At 40.9% G+C, this 21976-nt stretch overlaps 1 protein-coding gene across 9 annotated transcripts in view, besides 3 other annotated features; it reads right to left on the bottom strand.

The window, feature by feature from the left end:
• The window catches only part of PIWIL1 (piwi like RNA-mediated gene silencing 1), an 88374-nt gene that overhangs the window by 62661 nt on the left and 3737 nt on the right, over positions 1-21976 (bottom strand). For 8 of the 9 annotated variants that reach the window (XR_007063144.1, NM_004764.5, XM_011539002.4 and 5 more), the window contains exons 2-18: positions 20931-21020; positions 20499-20610; positions 17722-17847; positions 17016-17230; positions 16538-16659; positions 15417-15497; positions 14164-14361; positions 13633-13744; positions 8937-9063; positions 8595-8712; positions 7933-8047; positions 6495-6682; positions 6047-6119; positions 2220-2420; positions 1999-2102; positions 764-834; positions 456-609 (exon numbers count right to left, since the gene is read on the bottom strand). Coding sequence is in view for 8 of the 9 variants with exons in the window: in NM_004764.5 (NP_004755.2) it covers positions 456-609; positions 764-834; positions 1999-2102; positions 2220-2420; positions 6047-6119; positions 6495-6682; positions 7933-8047; positions 8595-8712; positions 8937-9063; positions 13633-13744; positions 14164-14361; positions 15417-15497; positions 16538-16659; positions 17016-17230; positions 17722-17847; positions 20499-20610; positions 20931-21008 (2195 nt within the window). In the remaining variant the exon portion in view is untranslated. Of the gene's footprint in view, positions 1-455; positions 610-763; positions 835-1998; positions 2103-2219; positions 2421-6046; positions 6120-6494; positions 6683-7932; positions 8048-8594; positions 8713-8936; positions 9116-13632; positions 13745-14163; positions 14362-15416; positions 15498-16537; positions 16660-17015; positions 17231-17721; positions 17848-20498; positions 20611-20930; positions 21021-21976 lie in introns of those variants that run through there. The other variant, XM_011539006.4, reaches the window with a different exon arrangement.
• Positions 2876-3045: an enhancer, noted in NCBI's record as "experimental_25830 CRE fragment used in MPRA reporter constructs". NCBI's record gives its function as "activates a minimal promoter by MPRAs in K562 erythroleukemia cells, with activity observed for the non-introgressed 12:130845185 variant allele {active_cell/tissue: K562}" and the evidence as "EXISTENCE:reporter gene assay evidence [ECO:0000049][PMID:34662402]".
• Positions 4034-4203: an enhancer, noted in NCBI's record as "experimental_25829 CRE fragment used in MPRA reporter constructs". NCBI's record gives its function as "activates a minimal promoter by MPRAs in K562 erythroleukemia cells, with activity observed for both the introgressed and non-introgressed 12:130844027 variant alleles {active_cell/tissue: K562}" and the evidence as "EXISTENCE:reporter gene assay evidence [ECO:0000049][PMID:34662402]".
• Positions 7210-7379: an enhancer, noted in NCBI's record as "experimental_25828 CRE fragment used in MPRA reporter constructs". NCBI's record gives its function as "activates a minimal promoter by MPRAs in K562 erythroleukemia cells, with activity observed for the introgressed 12:130840851 variant allele {active_cell/tissue: K562}" and the evidence as "EXISTENCE:reporter gene assay evidence [ECO:0000049][PMID:34662402]".

Genomic DNA, 21976 nt, shown 5'->3' with positions numbered 1-21976 from the left:
ACTACCCCTGCCCCATGAGACTAGATGCTCGCCAAATCACCTTACTGATCAAACACTAGTCAAGTCCACAAGGAAATGAAACAAGTATTCAGTAAGCTAAGACTGTCAGGAACACTTATTTCAATAATGAATCCTGTGGACGCCTTTGGATGTACAGAATTATCAGATACTTGCACTCCAAGGCCTTAGGTAAGAAAGAAAGCTGATCAATGATTGGTAATGGTGTCTTACTGTCCCATTCTGTGAAGGAATGACCCTCTATACTACCCCTCAACACAGCCTTCTTGTGAAAAATTTCCAATAGAAACTTCCCTCTGCCCTTCCCATCACCTCAAAGGCCCTACAGTCCCTATCAAGTTAGGTTCTCCCTCATCCTTTCATCTTGTGATGCTAATTTCAAAGATACAAAGGTGCAGTTTTATAAAAAGAAAATGCTTTACAATTTGCATGCTTACTTGTAACCTCTACCAATGGATTTTAGACAATCCAAAAACTGTGGCACTTCGTAGTTCACCAGTGTTTTCAGCTGGCCGTCTCCTACGCCATCGCGGTACACGATGATCCGGCTGGGCATGTACTCATTGCAGCTATTCCAAGCCCTCAGAGCCGCTGAAACAGGCCAGAGAAGTTTTATGTCAATTCATGCCTACGACACAACTCGTCTGTTCTTCCCAAAGTCTGGGCCCATCAATAACACAGTTCAGGGTAATTTCTGGAAGACCCCAGTTTAGAGAGTAGAATGGCAACCCCACAGGTGACTAACCTTGCAGGCAGACTTTGAGCCCATCTACCAGCTCCTGTCCTCTATCCTGAAATATGCAGCGTGAGAACCAGCTATTCAGAGAAAAACACAGCTAGAATAAGAATGCAATTGTCTATCAATTTTTCCTTTCTGAATTATTCTATATTTATTTCACTCTTAGCAATCTGTCATCTTTGTAACTGCCTTAAAGACATCTGTTAACATCTCCAAATACTTTATAAAAACCTTACACAGAAGGAGCAGGATACAAGAGATCCCGTATCAGCATCACAAACTGTGTCTGTTTTCATTACAAATCAGTACCATGATTCCAGCTGCTGGGGAGAAAACAGAATTTAGCTATAATACCCAGAGGCGCTGTCCAGGTTTATTACACCTAAATACGCACAGAAGCACACTCATGGCTGTGCTCTTGAGAAACTATTCATTGTAAGTTTCACTCTTCTAAAAGATGAAAGACCTTCAGCTCCATCCGTTACCTCTAGCAAACTAATGCAGGAACAGAAAACCAAATACCACCTGTTTTCACTTATAAGCGGCAGCTAAATGATGAGAACTCATGGACGCAAAGAAGACAACAGACACCAGGGCCTACTTGGGGGTGGAAGGTGGGAGGAGGGAGAAGAGCAGAAAAAATAACTACTGGGTACTAGGCTTAGTACCTGAGTGATGAAATAATCTGAACCACAAACCCCATGACACGAGTTTACCTATGTAACAAACCTGCACATGCACTCCTGAAACTAAAAGTTAAAAATGATAAGACCTTGAAATATATCCATTACTAATGTCAACAACTAACATGCCTTCAGTTTTCATATATTACTATTCTTGGCAATTCCCTTAGTTCCAAGAAAAGCACTGAAAAATAATGCTATTATGTTGAAATACAAGTGACTGGGTAAACTGAAGTGGTTTTTCTACATCAAAATGTGAAACTACATTTCAGTGGCCAGTAAATATTATTAAACAAATACATTTTTAGAGAGAGTCACATTTAACAAGATGTACTCGCCAATACATATGATTAAAAAAAATCTGAAATGCAGTTTGACGAATACAGGATGAAAGTCATTCAAGAGCTAGGGTAGGTCATTATTTTTCTTTCCTAAATTCGTTGCTGTATATGATTGAGAAACTGGAAGGATAACAACGAAGAATGAACACTACTCCTGAACCTCCAGAACCCTGCTTTATGTCCTCACTGCCACCCACAGTAGCCCAGTCTCACTCACCGGGTCATCCCTTCATTGATGCTGGCAACAAATCCTGCGATTGACCTCCGCCCAGCTGTCATGTCATGGTAACAATCGATGCCAACGATCATCACGAGCTTCAGCTTCAATACAAATATGGTAATTTTAGATACAATGGAGTACCAGCAACATTTAAAAAGTAAATCCATGTTCTTAAATACCAATTTTAAAACGGCATCTACCAATTAAATCAAACTCACGGGGATGTCCACCCTCCAGAGCTCTCCTCCCATCTTGCAGTTCATCTGTAGGGCAATCTTTGTAGCAATGGCCATGACAGTTTGCTGTTTGCCTAAGGTTCGGGCCACCACACACTGACTTGGGGTAGGGCAATCTGTACACAGGTATTTTTTAATAGCATCGTATTTGTCCTTCCGATTACTTGACAACAGACAGACAACCTGAAAACAAAGTGCCCTTGTTACAAAGAATTAGGAGACAGATGATTAAGAGCAAGGGAGAGGACAGGAAACTAAACTCACCTGTGAAGTATCAATGTCAAGAACATGATCATTTATTTTACTATTCATTTCAGCCACACAGCTAATCAGTAGGACATTAACAAATACTGCTCATCATGTTCAACTAAATGATAATTGCACGTGAAGGAAATAAATCATGTTAAGCAAACTATGAGTCAAAACTGAATACTGTTTAAACTTGAGAACTTAAATATGCTCTATGTAACCAGCACAGAAAAATTTAGTGACAAGTGACAGGTAGACAGATTAAAGATTTCCCACAGTCTTAATTTACTCATGATTCATCTACAATTGTAACTTGTAAGCTTTAAAGCTCTGGATTGAGAATCTGATCAAACTATGAACTTCCACAGGAGGTCCATGGACAATTCTGGGGACAAAACAGAGCGCCTGATCTCAACATGCCCCTGCCCCAATTCTGGGCATCCAAGTTTAACTTTCGGGAGTTTGGTTTGTTTTGTTTTTGAGATGGAGTTTTGCTCTTGTTGCCCAGGCTGGAATGCAGTGGTGCGATCTCGGCTCACTGCAACCTCCGCCTCCCAGGTTCAACTGATTCTCCTGCCTCAGCCCCCAGAGTAGCTGGGACTACAGGTTCGCACCACCATGCCTGGCTAATTTTTGTATTTTTAGTAGAGATGGGGTTTCATTGTGTCGGCCAAGATGTTCTCAATCTCCTGACTTGTGATCCGCCTGCCTCGGCCTCCCAAAGTGCTGGGATTACAGGTGTGAGCCACCACGCCTGGCCTGAATCCAGCTTGTAACTCATTGCCATGTTCTCCAATTTATATTCCCAGATTCTTCTCTTCCCTTTTTATAGTGCCCAGCAAAATAATTTTCCCACCTTGGGTGTTTCCATTACCCAGATAACATAATAGCTATCTGCCTGTGGGATCTAAAGTGTGACATGAAGGGCTAAAATAATGAACACATTAGAAGAAGCCAATTCATTTCTTAGGCTTATGGCAACACAGATGTATTGTTTATCACTAAATCTGTCTTTGCCAACTCATTGCAATGTGGCTGTATGAAAACTCAACGGGGCAGAAGAAACTCATCCTAGCACTCGATACCCCACAATGTGCTGCTGTCTTCAGAATGTTTCCTGTGAACTAGATATGTACTTTCAACTTGTTTTTAAAATAGCCAAGGATATAAATGCCTAATAATCAGTGAAATCGCTGAACTAATTATTGTTCACATGCATGTCATTTTTCCCTTCCTACTTTACAATCATAATGACATAATAGTAGAACCTATCATAATTTTCCTTACCACTTACATCTTAATCTCATATTGTCATTCTATCTTTTGCAAGTTCCATGTTCCCTCAGCAGATCTCTGGCAATTTTATGCTACAGGTATAAAAAGCAATAGGAATTGACTGAACTTCTATGTATCACCCACTACAGTCCCAGGCTACTATGACCTTTGTATGTCAGTTTTCTAACAATAACCAACCAACTCTGCTAAAAATAAGGAGAGCTGAAGTACTTGTCTTGGAGATTTTATCAGGCAGGGCCCCAATAAAATAGATGGAATATTCAAACTGGACAAGTTGAGAGAACCTGAATAAAAGGACTACTTGTGAGACACCCTCCCCAACACCCAGGGGCTCATGGCAGCAAGAGCAGGGCAGGGAATGGTTATGGGAACAGGGCATGGGGGTGTAGAGTGCAAAGAAAGCTCTTCAGGGGTCATGGTCTTTGGCTCGGCTGTGCTTTCACTTCTGCAAAGTAAATGTCTAAGCCCTACTTTCTTCCACTATGGACCAGGAAGTCTTGAGGCCACAATTCCAAGTTCTTGGACAAAGACTGAATGCAAAGGAGATTCTAGACCAAATGTGATTAAGACTTGGACAACTCCGGAGTTCCCTGACAATGAGTCTGGCTCTATTTTGCTACATTAGGCTGGGTGTGTGGACTTACAAGAAAACTATGGCACTGCTATCATGTTTATAAAGGCTACACTCTAGATACAGACCAAAAACAACCATATCAATGTTGATAGAATTTCAGGGGTGGGAGGAGTGTTAGAGAAGAAATATAACTTAGAAAGCTTTCAAGTTGAAAACTTTGCTGGAAAACACAAAGGCAAGTTTGAGAAAAGTGTGTCAGAAGTGTGTGCAGGGGTGTGTGCATGAGAGAGAGGATGAGCAGGATGGCAGCCTGACCACGCCTAAAGCACACCATGGTGAACAACGACAGGCCATAGTCGTACAACATGCTGGTGCCTGGAATATAGAAGGCCCTGTTCTCAGTGCTGGGGACGCGACAGGAACGAGGCAGATGGCCTTGTACTAGAGAGCAGTGTGCGAGAGTGACGGACAGTTTCTAACCAACAATTTATAGAAAGCTGGACAAACAGTGAAGTCAAGACATACCTGACAGCCTAAAAAACTAGCTTGAGAAAAGGGGGGTAATTTTCCCCTGAATAATTCAAAACACTGATGGGATTGGGAAAATGAAGAGTTAACTCAGACTCGCTGAGTTTGAGGAGCTGACTGGTGGCGGCAGCAGCAACAGTGATTAACATGTCCTGGGCTACTAGGGAGGGGCCGGGCATGACACCGCCATTAAACTTCAGAAGTGCTGTGAGGGTTCACTACTATTATTACTACCACCTAAATCTGTTCAGAAAAGGAAATAAAGCCAGAAGCACTTGATGAAGATCAGGCAAATGGCTGAGCCGGGATGTGAACCCAGGGGTTTGATTTCAGAGTTTACCCTCTTAATAACTGCGCTACAGATTACAACAAAAATGAAACCACAACACACACTTGCTGCATGTCCCCACAATTTCAGATCACCAATGAAAACCACCCGTCATTAAGTGGCTGCCATCATCTAACGTCCCTGTCTCCAATTCCTAACCCTCTGCACCTCCCACACACCCACGCTAGGTAGCGAGACTCTGGCAAACAGGCATATGGGCTCTTCGGGACTCAGTCCTCCCCTCCTGAGTCATCACTCACTCACCTGGATGGGTGGGTGAAGCACACACAACAACAACACGTTTGCAGGTAAAAGGGGAAAGAGCTTAGGAGAGTGGTTGCATCCCTATCCCGACCCCTCGGGGTGATGTGGATGCATGCGGAAGCTGACAAGCTGCTGAGTGTCACTCAGGGCTCCCTGCTCTCTGCGACCCTACTCTTCCCATACCTGGCACTAGGCTGTCTGGGGAGCTTCCATGTAATTACGCAATCATACGTCTACGTGTGCCGAACAACAGCTGATTTTTACCTCTGTGCTTTTCTGTATTTTCCAAATTTTCTAGACTAAGTAAAGCCTTTGGGTCTGAATAAATTGAAGATGGCTTTGTTTTTCTCCACCCCTTCCTCACCTTTTGCAGTATGTAAACCAAACTCCTAGGTGCACAACTAAAGCTAGCATTAGCTTAGCTACTTTATGGTTACAAAACATATTTTGTGCCTAGTTTGAGAACCTATTAACATTTGAAAAAAGAACTCCAAGTTCCAAAATGTACACATGCCCCCTTTGAAAAAGCTCTTTCACCGAAAACTGCCTATATGTCAATTAGTTACTTACTATCTGGGTGTCTGCTGTGACCTTTTGCTGTAAGACTCTTAAGTAGGCTTCAGTTCTGTCATCCACTTCAATCCTAGAATGAAAGTACACAATCCAACACTCAGACACAGTAGCGACAAATGGACCGTGCATAAACACCTTCCTGTGTAACACAGGAAACGTTTCCGTATAAAACATGAAATCAAACACCGAGACTAGCCATTCATGCCAAGGGCTGTTTCTAATACAAACGAGCAATATTTTAAGCACGCAGGTTTCAGAAACTGTCTTACTTGGTTGCTTCTCCCACCCATTCTTAGTTATTAAAATATGTTTCTGTTTATCTGCATTACAGGGAGCCACATCAAACCTTTCAATTAAGATAACGTAGTTTGTATGTTTAATAGTTCCCACCCCTCCAAATGACTGCCAAGCAATTTTCAGAGCAGAAATGACTTGATTAACTTACATTATTGCTTTTCTCATTTGCATGCCCATGGCTGGTGTAACTTTAAATAGATTTTGTATCAATGAATTGGCTGCTTCATAATTTCTTCGCGTATAGATCAACAGCCAGTTATCTAGTGGCTTAACACTAATTAATGGTGCACCTCTTGTTTCTTTGGACCAATCTGCAAATTGTGGATTGTAATCAAACTAGAAGAGAGTTCAGACACACTGTAAATTCCATTGTAAGTTCTCAGTGATCAAGCCAAACAGTCTTCAATAATTCTACCATGGCATATTTTGAAACTTAGTGTACTACTTTTATGCTTGAATTAAAGGGACAGAGAAAATGTCCTCAATGGGGGTAGACTCTAAAATATATCCAAAGGATGATGGCAATTTTACTTAAAATACACTCATACTGACAGCTGCCACACAAATGCTTACTTGGACCAGGTACTTCCCTAAGTGCTTTAGTCGCATTCTCCTTAATCTTTTAAAAAATCTTACAAGTATAGCTACTCTTTCTTCATAATGAAAATATTAAAAAATAAGGCTTTGAGAGTAAAACAACTTGACTGAGGTGTTATATGCCGCAAGCAAGCTACAAAAACATCTGACAGCAAGACAGAAAGTGAAATAAACGCGAGGCACAGCACCCGAGTGCTGGTCATCACAGGGAGCAGCCCGGTGTCTTCTGCGTGTCCTGGCCACCTCCCTGCCTGGCCTCACGCAGGGGATAGCGTAAACAATGCAACCAGAATATTAAATTACATTGTGAGATCACTGTTCACAGGACATTTCAAAGGCAGGAAGGACATTTTCTTAAAAAAAAAAAAAAATGAAAATGTTGGCACTTTACAGTGCTTTAATTACACTAAAAATATTTTTAGAATACTTTTCCTTTTCTGAAAATGAAACATAAAAGGTATCATAATAATTAATATATTATCTCTATAAACAAATGATCCAGGCCAATCAAATCAGGGATTTTCCATCATTTTAGTGGCAGTCAAAATATCAACCCAAGCAGATAGTTAGGATTCTACACTTTAGCTCAAGTTATTGAAAAAAAAAAAAATCGAACCACTTTTTAGCTAAGTCTTACAGATGATTTTTGAGGACCCAGCTACAGGCTCCACATTCTCTAGGGCTTCCACGTTTTCTCCTCCTGGGGTGTACCTATTTCTGAGGTCCCGGGCTGTTCATGTGGGTTGATAGAGAGTGGATGTGCAAGGGGAGAAGAGAAAGGTGAGGAAAAGATCATTCTGGCATGGAACTCAGTTCTTCCCACTTGCTTTATTGTGATCTGACCCAAGCCTCACTTGATTGTCAACTTTAAAAACTGCCTTACTCGGAGCTTGCAGTGAGCTGAGATTGCACCACTGTACTCCTGCCTGGGGGACAGAGCGAGACTCCGTCTCAAAAACAACAACAACACCAACGAAAAACTGCCTTACTGTTTTTCCACCTTGGTGAATCTTTTCTGTTTGCAAAATTCTTCCTGAGAAGGACAGTAAGTTGGAATCAAAGCTCAAACCCCAGTCTCGAAGCTCCCTTTGAACATTATCGTTTCTGTAAATTTAACACATTTACATGCGACTCAACAAAGAGACACAGCAAGAAGACACAGTCAAACAGATATCCACTCCAGCCTACAACACACTCCAATGTCGCCGTCAGGGTGAAGGCGCTGGTGAGAATGCCAGCTGGCACAGGAGCACAATCATCTTTCTCTCATCACCTTCAGGCTTCTCTTCATGACATTCTTTAACTTAAAATTCTGATGCCCAAACTTTCTCCCCGTCAAAGGAAACCCCTTGATATAACAAAGATAGAAAAAAGATTTGACCAGAAACATCCCCTTTTTCTGTTGTCACCTTTTGCTAATGGAAGAGTTAGAAAGACTACGCACTGCAAAGTTTAACTTCATTATTTCCTGAGGAATAAGTGAGGTATAGGTAGCCTTGCTTAGAAACACGAAGAACAAGCCCACCCCAAATACTACAGATACCAAAGGAGAAAGTTACTTTCTGCCACTCCCTCAAAAGATACCCCTCAAAGCCACATAAAATACTAAACACAAAACTGAAACCCTGCCCCAGTGAAATCAATGACTTACTTATGAATGTAATCAATGAGTCGTCCCACTTCACGCTGCCTTTGCTCTGGAGTTAGTCTTGTATGAACGGCTAAGTCTTTCATCACGTTAAAATCATTACGCATTTTATCAGTTAGACCTTTAAATAAGACATTTAAAGGCATATGGTTAAAGAAATAATAATCAGGTCTAAATAACTGGAGTATAGGGTGATGGTGAGTGGGAATTCCCAGGAGACAAAGCAGTTTTAATAAAAGGTTTTCTGGGGGGAGGGAAGGGGAAGTAAAGGAATGTCTGAGGACTCCTAGGAAAGAAAGGGTAAATCCAGTGGCTTCCTTCCGAGTAAATGAAATGCAACAGTACCTGTAAGATAGCAGAGCTCAGGAATGAGCATGGCAGGCCCTGGCAGTGTCCCCCCAGGGCCCCGCCTTCTCTTGGGCTGGCTGACCAAGACAGGCTGCTTCAAGTCGGTGATCTCTTGGTTGTATTGCTGCTCAAGAGACGAAAGGGTCGCTGTTCACGGCAAATGCCTCGAGTAGCATCTCAGTGGGCAAAAAGGGTTTCATTTTTTAAAAAAATAAAGAGCTGATGCCAATAGCAAGGCTGATAATAGCTTCAGAGTAAAGTTTTAAAAAGGCATTTTTTTTAACATTCTTAAAACAGAGGTTGTGACTTCTATGCTCTACTGAGTGCCCTATCTTTTTCCTAAAAACTGTGATGGTCCAGGACAGTATGGTTCTGAGTTCAGACTTTGTTAGTCACAGTTCTCATTGCTTAATTTTTTATTTCTTGGTTTAGAAACAGTAGTCTGTGTAACTCTGCAACTTCACCATAGGATGATTCCTCTAAAACTATTCTCTGTTACTGAGAGAACTTACTAATAAAAGCAGTCTCACCGTGAGAATACAGAGGGGAAAGGAAGAAGTTCCTACGCTACAGGGCAGGTTTAATCAGAAAAAGTTTTTTATAAAATCTTGATATTTTCAAGAAGTCAAATTTCAATTGAGAAGTGTTAAGGTTCCCCAGATGCAATCACTGCCCAAAATAAGCGTTGACAATTTGTTAAACAATAAAAAATGACATTCTTTTTTTTTTTTTTTGAAGATGGAGTCTCGCTCTGTCACCCAGGCTGGAGTGCAGTGGCATGATCTTGGCTCACTGCAACCTCCGCCTCCCGGGTTCAGGTGATTCTCCTGCCTCAGCCTCCTGCGTAGCTGGGATTACAGGTGCACACCACCGTGCCTGGCTAATTTTATATTTTTAGTAGAGACAGGGTTTCAACATGTTGGCCAGGCTGGTCTCCAATTCCTGACCTCAGGTGATCTGCCTGCCTTAGCCTCCCAAAGTGCTAGGATTAGAGGCGTGAGTCACGGCACCCAGCCAATATTCATGATTTAATGTCCTCAAAAGATGAGCTCTCTGGCCTCCAGCTCAGTTCGGCAATTCTAGAACCATGACAGACTTTGTTTGAGTTCTCTTCAGTACAGGTTCTGGCTCTGTGTCTCAAAGATCCTCTTTCCTACCATATCCTGTATCTTGCCAAAAACAGATTTTCTTAGCATCCTGCTTAAATCAGATCCAGCTTTAAAAAAAAAAAACCCACACACCTTCACTGAGCACACCAGAAGAACAAAAAAACCACACACCTCCACTGAGCACACCAGAAGAACAAACCACACACCTCCACTGAGCACACCAGAAGAAAAAACCACACACCTCCACTGAGCACACCAGAAGAACAAAAAACCACACACACACCTCCACTGAGCATACCAGGAGAACAAAAAACCACACACCTCCACTGAGCACACCAGAAGAACAAAAAACCACACACACATCTCCACTGAGCACACCAGAAGAACAAACCACACATTTCCCTGAGCACACCAGAGGAACATCATCACAGCATGTCCTTAATCTGTCTCTCATCAGCAGACTAAGGGTGCTTGCATATTTCTTATTCCTAGCATATGGCAAGGTCCTGGCCACCTACTACAAGCCCTCGTGAATTAAGAAACCATGAATTCTAGCCCGTTCTTGACTTGTTTCAAATAAGAAAATTTTAAGTAGAACACTCACATCTGACCTCTGCTTCACGTAGCTATACTACCTATTTTATCACATTTTAAAATGAGGAGTCTGGGAACAGTTACCCTCCACACCACATCACTGACTTGCAAACACAGGTGGTAGAAGTGTGGTCGTAATTTCAGAAATGTGTCCTCTCTCACCCTATTTCACCCAAGGCCTTAAGGGCATGGTTCCTGATACAGAACTTGTACTCGCTACGCCCCCTCCACTTTTATATTCTTAGGTGCCAAACAGCCTGTCATTCATTCATTCATTTATTTATTTGAGACAGAGTTTCATTCTGTCGCCCAGGCTGGAGTGCTGTCTCGGCTCACTGCAACCTCCGTCTCCCGAGTTCCAGCGATTCCTCCTGCCTCAGCCTCGCGAGTAGCTGGAATTACAGGCATATGCCACCACACCCAGCTAATTTTTGTATTTTTAGTAGAGACGAGGTTTCACCATGTTGGTCAGGCTGGTCTCAAACTCCTGACCTTAGGTGATCCACCCACCTCGGCCTCCCAGAGTGCTGGGATTGCAGGCATGACCCATCGTGCCTGGCCCTGTCAAATATTTTTAAACATTTTCCTCTACACCTGAAAAAACAGCACTCTCATTTTTATTAGACATTACTGTTAAACCTTTTATTTTAAAAACCAACTATGACCTTCTCTACCAAACACCCTTCCTTCTTCTACTCTGTTTCCTAGATATTATCTTCAATCCCAAACCATCACTTACTAGTAAAACTGCATTTCTACCAGAAAATCTAAGAAGGCTTTGATTCTTTTAAATATCTTAACGTCAACCTCTTTCATTAATTATTTCTACTAAAGACATCTGATTATCCCTGATTTCCAGAGAAATCTTCCCTAGAGAAAGAAGCTGAGCTGAGATCTCAAGCATAAGCATACAAGGTGTGTCCAACAGAGGGGACACAACCCTATGTTTAGTCTAAAGGCACAGTGGGGGACACGCCATGAGAATAAAGCAGCAAGCAGGGTCTCATGGAGAAAGATCACCACACTTCACCAGACACAGGGCCACGGGTGCCACATCACTTCTGGGGGGAAGGGGAAGAAGAAGAACAGATGTGTATGAGTTGATTGATCAGAAGGTAGAGGAAATAAATACTAAGACTTGTTAAATGAATTATAAAAATAGGGCCTGGACAGGAGATGCCATTTAGAAAAGGAGAAAAATGAAGGCAATTCAGATAACAAGGTGAGTGACAGAACCGGACAAAAGAGTACTAGGAGGCAGGGGAAGGTGCGGAGATCTGACGTGTGACTCATCCACCATTTGTTTATTCAAATACCCAAGAACCTACTTAGGCATGGGGTATATAAACCATAAAATCTCTTGCCTCTGTCCAAGTTACCTTATCTGCATTGACCAAGAGCACCGAGTAGGGGCCGTGTTGAGAAGACAGAACACATTCAACACTGGCAACATGGGAGAGGTATCTTTGAGTCATCCAAATACTTAAGAACAACCAGGCAGCTAAGCTTAGACAAGTCTAGGCTGGAACTGGAAGTCTGGGGATTCTTAACATTTCATGCCTGAAGCCTGGGCAGAGGAGACTGGAAATCACCCAGGGAGTGAACATATAGTAAAAGGGGTCTGGGCAGAGCTCCTAAGTATGATAACACGTAAAACACCACTTACAGGAGGATGAGCTGCCACAGGACACTCAGTACCAGTCAGGGAAGGGGAGAGGTTCCACTGACCTTGCTTCAGGTTTAAATCACATTTTCAGCTAATGTTTCCTTTATATTTGCTGTTGATATACCAACTTCTACCATCCCTGAGAGTGATCACTAAAATTAACGACAGAAAAATGCCACAACTCATTCCTCACAGTAACCTCTGACACCCAGAGGGATCCAGGTTAGGCATGGTTGGAGTCCTCAAGGAGTAAAGAGGCTGAAAACAGTGGGAGGAAAGACATGCTGAAATGACCCCTGGCTGTTTCCATCTTGCCAGGAATAAGGTCAGCCCTTCATGCAGCGTCTCATAGAATCCCTCCCTCCGTAGTGGCTTCTCATCTTTTTAGTCACAGCAGAGCAGCTGGACAGCAGCACACAGACCTTTCCAAGGCCACTGATAAGATGCATACTTTCCATGCAAAATATGAATACTTTTCATATTTAAGCTCATTTATCCAAATTTTTAGAAACAGGAAATACTCTATTGAAAGTAGAAGAAAATGTGAAATGTTAGCAATTCAAAGACAAGTTTTGAGATTTTAATTGATAGTTTTCTAGAAATAATCTTCCTGCGCTTTTAACATATCAAATGGAATGTGACGTTCTAAGGATTTGGGGGCCAGATCTGCTCATCTGAGTACTGAAACAATGTTAGCATGCATTCTTACATGAACAGTTCAGTTTCTTCTAGTCAATAGCTGCTCTTTCCTGCTATTTGCCTTTGATGATCTTTTCAAAACTAGAATCATCTCTTTAAAAACTGTTTTAGATGATCGCCCAAAAGACTGATCTAGCCTGTGCTAACAAGCCTGTCTGCATTTTGTTAACATGTAAATCAAAAGTTAAGAGTTAACCCACAGGCAGTAGATTTAGCAGAAATGATACTGAAGGTTCAAAGATCTTTAATTCCTACCCGTCTCCAAGGTGAAATTAAATGAAATGTTGATTATGGAGGGAGAGACAGTATGGCAAGCTCTTAACTCCCACTGCTCGCCACCTGTTATCCAACCTACTTGTCCTCCATAGGCTTCAATTCAAACGTAAGCTTTCATTCTACTGGAAAAAGGGAACCAGGAGAGGGCATTTCTCATTATGTGAACTGTACCAAATAAAAAGAGGCATTTTAATAATTTGGTAATGAATAAAATTATGCTGTGATTGCCCTAACAAATACATTTACACACAGCTTTAAACGCAACTTGTTCCAAATGTGCAACAAGTGTTAGAGAATTCTACCAAAGATATTTTGGATTTCTCCTGAGATCTAACCACTGGCATCTTACCTTCCTGTAGTATTCTAAGAAGCTGACTTCAGAGCCGTCGGCTTTCTTAAAGGTGCTCTTGGGATTCTGGTCCCAGTCAATATCATCCACTCTGTATGTCTTATTGTTATACCTAGGGATCAGTTGAGATTTGACTGCATTTGATGGAAATGTGAAGAACTAATATTAAAAAGAGAGACTAGACAGCATGTATTCTCTAAAATTTCAAATCACCTGGTTATATACAAGGTTGGAAAAAGAAGGAACAGGGTTTCTTACAGACTATGCCAGATGGATGGGGGAAGTGACTAAATTACTTACAGAAAATAAAATAATTTAAAAGGATAAAAATCACTAGCTATTTGTCCTCTCCAGATGAGTTATGTCATCTCCAAAACTATGATCCTGGGAAAGCTGAAAAATACCCTCACCCTTGTTTTGTGCTATTCCCACCACTCAATTTTAAACACTATTTCTTAACATGGTAGAACTAGAAAGCCACAATACTTTGACTCACAAAAAATTATTGTGCACTTTAAAAAGCAGTCTTACTTGGTAAGAACAACTAAACCTATTAGTTCTTTGGAAACTTGTTCTTGAAATTTATGTTCTTCTGTCTGATGATAAAAGTTGAACATGAAATCCAAAACAGTCTCACTTCGAAGGACTTTATGGCTAACGTCAGTGCAGAGCATGATGCTGTTTTCATACTGAAGGATGGAAGTAGTGAAGCCAGGCCAAATCACCAACCTGTCAGACGAGATGGGGGTCATGAAGAACCTCTCCACATTCAACACATTCTGCACACACTAAGTTGCGTTTTCACTTTTATTAACTGGGTCTAAACTATAAAGTTTCTGAATGAATCAATTTCCTTATTTCTAGGATTTACATGGTTCCAGCTTTAAGACCTTCAACAACATTATAATAATTGTATAAGTTTCATTTTAAATGAATGTACTAACTTTATTCAGCTATTCATTACACTGGCCTAAGACTTTTAAAAAGTTGCCAATCTAATTGAAAGCACCACAATTATTATGATAAACTTAAACCTGTTGGGCTGCAATATTTTGTTTTTTATTTATTTATTTTCTTAGTGTCTCGCTCTGTCACCCAGGCTGGAGTTGGCACGATCTCGGCTCACTGCAACCTCCGCCTCCCGGGTTCAAGCACTTCTCTGCCTCAGCCTCCCGAGTAGCTGGGATTACAGGTGCCAGCCACCACACCCGGCTAATCTTTGTATTTTTAGTAGAGACGGGGTTTCATCATCTTGGCCAGGCTGGTCTAGAACTCCTGACCTCGTGATCCACCCGCCTTGGACTCCCAAAGTGCTGGGACTACAGGCATGAGCCACCACGCCCGGCCTTTTATTTCTTATTTCAACTTTAGATTCAAGGGGCACACGTGCAGGTTTGTGACATGGGCATACTGCATAATGCTGAGGTCTGGGGGATGAGTGGTCCCATCACTGAGGCACGGAGCACAATACCCAGCAGGTGGTTTTTCAGTTGGGCTGCAATCTTGATACACCACATTAACTGATTATTTTTATTACCTAAGGGCAAAAATACAAACAGCACTGGACAACTATGTATTCTTCCCTAGTGACAGGTAAATTACGTGATTTTTTAAAAATCCAAATATTCTGGGATGTCTCCTCATTATTCAAGTTAAATAGTCACATAATGTGATGGGCGGCATTAACAGTCACTGTAGTAAATTTGACCATTTCAAATTAGGTTATCGTCTCAAAAGTCTGTCATTAAGCCTAAGGAATATTAAACGTTCTACTTCATACAAACCTGTGACTTGGAATATCAATTGGGTCATTTGGGTTATAATAATTTCGTCCAATTTGTTGCAAATTCATGATTTTCAAAAGCCTAGAAATGGAAAGGTCAGAGAGTGAATATTGATAAGTATCTCTAATACGACAATCAGAACAGCATGTCGTTTAGAGCAGGGGTTGGCAAATTGTGGTCTGTAGCCAGGCCAAATCCAACCTACCTGCTGTTTTTTATGGCCTATGAGTTACCAACGGTTTTCAAATATCTTTGAGGTTGGAAAAAATAAAAGATTATTTCATGATACATGAATTATCTGAAATTCAGACTTCAGCATCCACCAATAGTTCTACTGGCACACAGCCATGACCGCTCACTCACACGCTGTGTCTGGCTGTTTCGGCGGTCCAGTAGTAGAGCTGAAGAGCTGCCAAGAGATGACATGGCTTTCAAAGCCTACGATGTTTACTATCTGGCCCTTTGCAGAGAGAAGTTTGCCAACCCCTCGTTTAGGGAAAAATCAATTTACCAGTTACATTAACTCAAAACAAGTATTTATCACAATGAATTGTCCTATCATCAGTGACAGTTATCTTATGACTAACTTAAAGAGGGAAATTACAGATACAAGTATTATGCCCTACTATTCTCACGAAAATTTCAGCCTTATCCAGATTGTTTCTCATCCCCCTCAAAAAACAAAAATTTTTGCAGAACACGTGTCTTGCTTTTGGATAGGAAATATGTGATATGTACACTGAAAGCAAATTATCAAGCATGCAGTATATCTCCTGTGGTGGAACAAACGACCTGAACTCTGCACCTCCTCCTGATCAAGGACCCACCGTGGGGAGAAGGAATACCAAGTTCGCAATAGCTCTCGAGGATATGAGTGTTCTGAACACAAGCTCAGACAGTATTTGAAGTCAACAGAATTAGGGAAGTAAAGGCAGGATACTTGCTTAAAGCAAATAGATGAATTTTCTATCAGTAAACCACACCTTAAGTTACTGCAATACAGAGAAACTCAATAATCCCAACCAATGCTGAAAATCTAGGAGAACTGAATGCAGATGTTCAATGTACAATTATTTCAACTTTGCTGTTTTCTTAATAAAATGTTGAAATAAAACACATACCTCCTGAAAATAATATTATAGAACTGCAAACAAGTTGGTGATGTAGGTGGAAGTTCATTTGTTAAAGTGATCGTTATCCTCACATCCTCTCCATTCCGGGTCTTACTAAAAACTTCAGTAACCTGAAGCCAGAGAGGTGGAAAACCCAAACTTTAAATCCTTAAAGGACAATTATGCCCAATCACATACTGCTTGCTTAATAAGGCAACATTGAAAACCATAAAATGTTTTAACTGGATTTTTTTTAAATGGCTCTGAGAAAAAGAGTGGCTAAGTGTATTATAACTCAATTGTAATCATCAAGTTACCCAGACAAATCTGACAATGCTACAATAATGCCAAAGTACCCTATGTGTTTATTCCAAGTCATATCAGACAGGAGACTCCTGGGGCCTCTCTAAAAGCCATGTGAGCTATCTTACATTGTGGTAGTTCTGCTTTGAAGTGGAAATCCCCCATCTCCCTTTTCCCAAATAACCTTTTGCTGTAGTCTTTTAGGTAAAAATAATATCGTTCCATCAAAAGCATGACACTTTCCAATTAGATCTTCGTGTTGAAAAAGAAGAGCTGAACGGAGTCTTCTGGCTTCCATCAGTGGGTTATAGTCAATGTGATACTGATATAAGGCCCACTGGGGACGGGATGTCAGCCGGAAATGGTTAGTGCTTAACCTTACTATAATGCCTGAAGAACCTGGAAAAGGAAGTTATAGTCAATTAACAAAATATCAAGTTTATTTTTCCTTGAAATCTTTCCTACCATGACAAGGCAGGCACAGTTCCGTAAACACAAGGCTAAGAGCAGCAGACAACATGAAAGTCCTCAGACATCTGACTTTGGAGACCACTAGTCTCTCTCTTTAGGTGAATTTCTAAAGAAGCATACATTTAGAAACAAATCTTCCTTAGACTAAGTAATTTACAAATAATTTGCAACAAAACCAACTAAATCTCTTCATGGCAAAGAGTTTTAAAAATGATCTATTAATATTTAATGAGATGACGTTTCAAAATGTGCAGTTAAAGATATCTATAACCTACTTCATCAACGCCAAAAGAAAGTGAGGAAAATCGAAAAGCCATGCAGGATCCTTGGCCAAATAAACACCTAAACTAAAGTGCCTCAATTCACTGTCCTGTGTTCCTGAGATGTAATCTCACAAAACTTATTCTTAATTAACCTACCTGTTTTTGATTCTTTAACATGGTCTAGGTTCTGCCTTGTATTCACACCAAGATCATGAAAATCTCTACGACGACCTCCTCTCTCTGCTAACGATAACTCCTGAAATCCAGCAGATATCTGGAGTCCTTAAAAAAAAATTGTGTACTTGAGCAACATAAAGCACGAAATAAAGGATGACAATATTAACTCCCATAGTGCTATTATGTGTAATCCAAAGGATACTGAGGTGTAGAAGACAAGGCATAAAACAATCCTATCAACATGTTTTAGGTATCTGCCAGCCTAACGAGAGAATGGTTTCCTAGTTATAACTTCATTCATAAAGGCCTTGTCACTGTCCTGGGCAATTGCAGATGCACCCTTTCAAGAGATGTGCACCTTGAATCAAGAGATCAAGCCAACTGGACTGTGGTGCAAGAGTGCAGGAGCATATGTTTGCTGACTGGGAAATTATTTTTCTGTATTGTAAGTCTGATAACTACCTAAAGGTCTTCATGTATTTTCCACAGTCTGTCATGATGCAATTACAACTACAGAAGTTGCTGGTTTAGAGGGTTTAAATCTGTAACCTGGATTAGAAAACTTACATCTAAAATGCAACTTCCTCACTACCTGACTCTCTTCAGAATCAGAAGAATGGATTTCTGCACCTGCACATATTCTATGACCATGACACGCATCTCATACTGGTATAGGTAATAAGGTCGTGATTAATCAGTTCATGCTTAGTGCTACAAGCTGTGGTTATAAGAACCTAAATTATTCAAGTCATTTGATTTGCTGAAATTATACAATTATCTCAGATCAACAATCTGATGTGAGCCAAAAAACAAATATGAACTTTGTAGTCAAGCATTAAAATTCCAGCTGTCAATTAATAGGCATGTTATCTTGTGTAAAAGAGATTACCAGTTGACTATCCAATAACTAACCCCTCATTCTTTAAATAAATTCTATTTTTGGAGTAATATACTTAATAGACTAAAATTTCCACCCTCCCCATGGTTAGGGATGGCCTAAGATACTTAAGCAGAAATTGCAGGATGACACTTTTGGAAAAATTCCATAAGAGAGCCAATAGCTGACATGTGACTTTTGTACTTCCTGACCCTTTGCCCTGCCCATGGAGCCTGGAATCTGGATCTGGCAGGGAGGGCTCAAATACAGAAGTTCTGAACCAAACAGAGGTCTTAATGATGGCAGTCATGAGCCCAGGACAAAAGAACAAAAAGATCAGAGTCCAGTTCTCTTCTGACCACAAACACCAGAACTGCCTACTCTCTAGACTTCCTTAGAGAAATAACAGTGGCTTAAAATATTTCAGTCCTTGCTATACTTTGGAAACCAGTTATTTAATATGAGTGTCAATTCCTTCACCTGAAAAATTGAGAATAAGCATCACAGGCATGTCAGAAGTTTTAAATATCACGTCTAAAGCACTTTACAAGGCACTTCCATGTTTGTTTCTGTACCTCATGATTTGGAGGGGGCTCTACCTAAAAATCCTTTAAACATGTAACTGTTCATACTTGTCTCTCTCAGTGAGCTTTTTATCCCAGAGGCTTGGTTTGAAGTATTGATGGCACTGGGTGAGTAACTACACTAAATCACGCATACTGAATCCAACCTGATGACACTGAAGGGTCATAAAGGCTGATATTTTTCCTTAAAAATTTTTAATTTGTCTTAAAAAAATTCAGTTCTGGACGCAAAAATCCAATTGCCAGTTTCTGAATATAAACAATGATGAAATCAGTTCTGCTTGAGATATACAGTACTGCTATGACACTTAGCCAAAGCTTGATTTTGTCACTTGATGAAGAGGACAGATTTCAGAATGGACAAGACTGGGAACCTTGCTAATTCCCCCTTCCATGCAGCTCCTAGAGTGATTTTATTTCAAACACACATCAGACCTCACACCACTGTGCTATTTAAGAATCCTTCAATGGGCCGGGTGCGGTGGCTCACGCCTGTAATCCCAGCACTTTGGGAGGCTAAGCCGGGAGGATCACGAGGTCAGGAGATCGAGACCGTCCTGGCTAACACGGTGAAACCCCATCTCTACTAAAAAATACAAAAAAATTAGCTGGGCGCAGTGGTGGGCGCCTGTAGTCCCAGCTACTCGGGAGGCTGAGGCAGGAGAATGGCAGGAACCCAGGAGGTGGAGTCTGCAGTGAGCAGAGATCGCGCCACTGCACTCCAGCCTGGGAGACAGAGTGAGACTCCGTCTCAAAAAAAAAAAAAAAAAAAAAAGAATCCTTCAATGCATCCACATCCCTTTACAGAATGAAAATCAAGGTCCAAACAATGTCTAATTAACAATAATCTGTTAAACTTATATTAATTTCTACAATACATTAGGTATTTGAGCATTTACCGTGACAAGCAATTCTCAGGTATAATCCCTAAAGAGCAGTGAGAGATGACAAAACAGGGCCTTCATTTGTTATCCCATGTATTAATGGTCACAATGATCTTTACCTCTACAGGTAGACACTACCTTGTTACAGATAGGGAACTGTTCCATAGAGTTAAATTTGCAATCCTGAGTAACCATTTTTTTAAGTCATTTATTAATGAAGACTGATACATAGAATGTTTAAGAAATTATATTTAAGTATTTTCCACAATTGATTTGTGTGTTGTGGCAACATTATAAGGAAATGTTTCTTAAACAGTTTCAGCACAAATTTTTGTACCAAGTTTTAATTCAATAAAATTTGCTGTATATGTTGAACAGAGTTGTTAAGACTTCCTTTTACTTTCTCTTCACCTTGTGACTTGGCTGTTCCTCCTGCTGTTCCTCTCTGCCGTCCACGGCCAAATAATTCCCCCTCTGCTGGTGGCGGCTGAGGCCTAGGCTGAATATAACCAGGTTGCTGACTCTGTAGTTACATGCAAATAAAGAACATTCTTTTCGTCAAGCGGTCAGACACCAGAGAAAATTTCTAGTCTTAAGTCTCAGGAATTCAACCAACACCTATCTAAATTAATAATCAAATATTTTATTCTTAAAAATAAATTTGAGAGAAGAGTCACCAAATAAAGTCACGAATCAGCTTCTAATATCCTGAGGAAACAGGGCATGATCTCCCTTGCTCACTTCCTATATCCTTCCCAGCACAGTTTTTAGTTTATTTTCAACAGCCTAGGCTGATCAAGAGTCAAAGACATTTTCTGTAGTCAGAAACGGTGAAGCACTCACGGCAGTGGAGCCCACCAGCTGCGCTGTCTCCTGACCGCGGGCCCTTCCTCTGGCTCTGGCTCGGGCTCTCCCAGTCATTGTTTTCTATTTCTGGAGAGGAAACAATCTTGAAGACAATACTCAATGGAGGCAATCGCATTTGATAATTTCTACAATGTTACTTTAAACTTCTTTGAGTTTCAAAAGTAAGCTCCCCAGGCAATTATTATGTATCCTTCTAATCTTTAATGACAGTTTTTTTTAATGTAACATTCCTACATTCAACAAACTCAGTTGCTTACCTTGCACTGGGCACTGCAGTAGGGCCAAAGGGGAAAACCTATTTTAATATAAGACTTAGTTTTTCATTTGGATTATTTATTATAAACAGACTTAGGAGGAGAAAGTGCTGAAAGAATTAGGATGCTGGTGGCTGGTTCTTTCTTTCCCATTTGGAGATACACATGTACACACACTTAACACATACTCCCATACACAGACACACACACACACACACACACACACACACACACACGGAAACAGGCACTTGTGGCAAGTGTCCCGCCAGGCCCCTTAGAAAATCCTTCTGCATACATAATGAGTCATCCTGGATCTTCCCAGAGTTCCATGTGTGGCTTACACTGAACATACCCAAACTAGTATCTCTTCTACCTCATGTCCCATAATTTCATTCTTGGTGAGTGGCATCACCATATACGTTATATCTAAATAAAAAGAATGGAGTCATTGATTTCAAAACCACTCCTTTATTTCTCCTACATCTGCCAGGACCGTTCTCTCCATTTCTTCAACATCATGATGGTACTAAGTGCTTCCTGTGAGCTGGGATCAGCTTTGGGCTCAGCTGTAACAATCTCTCACCCTCATCGTGGTGGTACACAATGTCATCAGGCTATTAAGGGTAGAGGCCTCAGAGCTCAACTGCCTGAACCCAACTCCTTCACATTTTAGACAACATGAGAAAACAACATAGCGTGTGACTCTTTGTCGAATGGTTGGAATAACCTACTGCACAAGTCAATGGTGAAGATCAAATGAGAACTCAC

Source organism: Homo sapiens, chromosome 12 (genome assembly GCF_000001405.40).
Source record: "Homo sapiens chromosome 12, GRCh38.p14 Primary Assembly".
Classification (NCBI taxonomy): Eukaryota; Metazoa; Chordata; class Mammalia; order Primates; family Hominidae; genus Homo; species Homo sapiens.
This window is presented reverse-complemented; position numbering and strand designations above follow the sequence as displayed.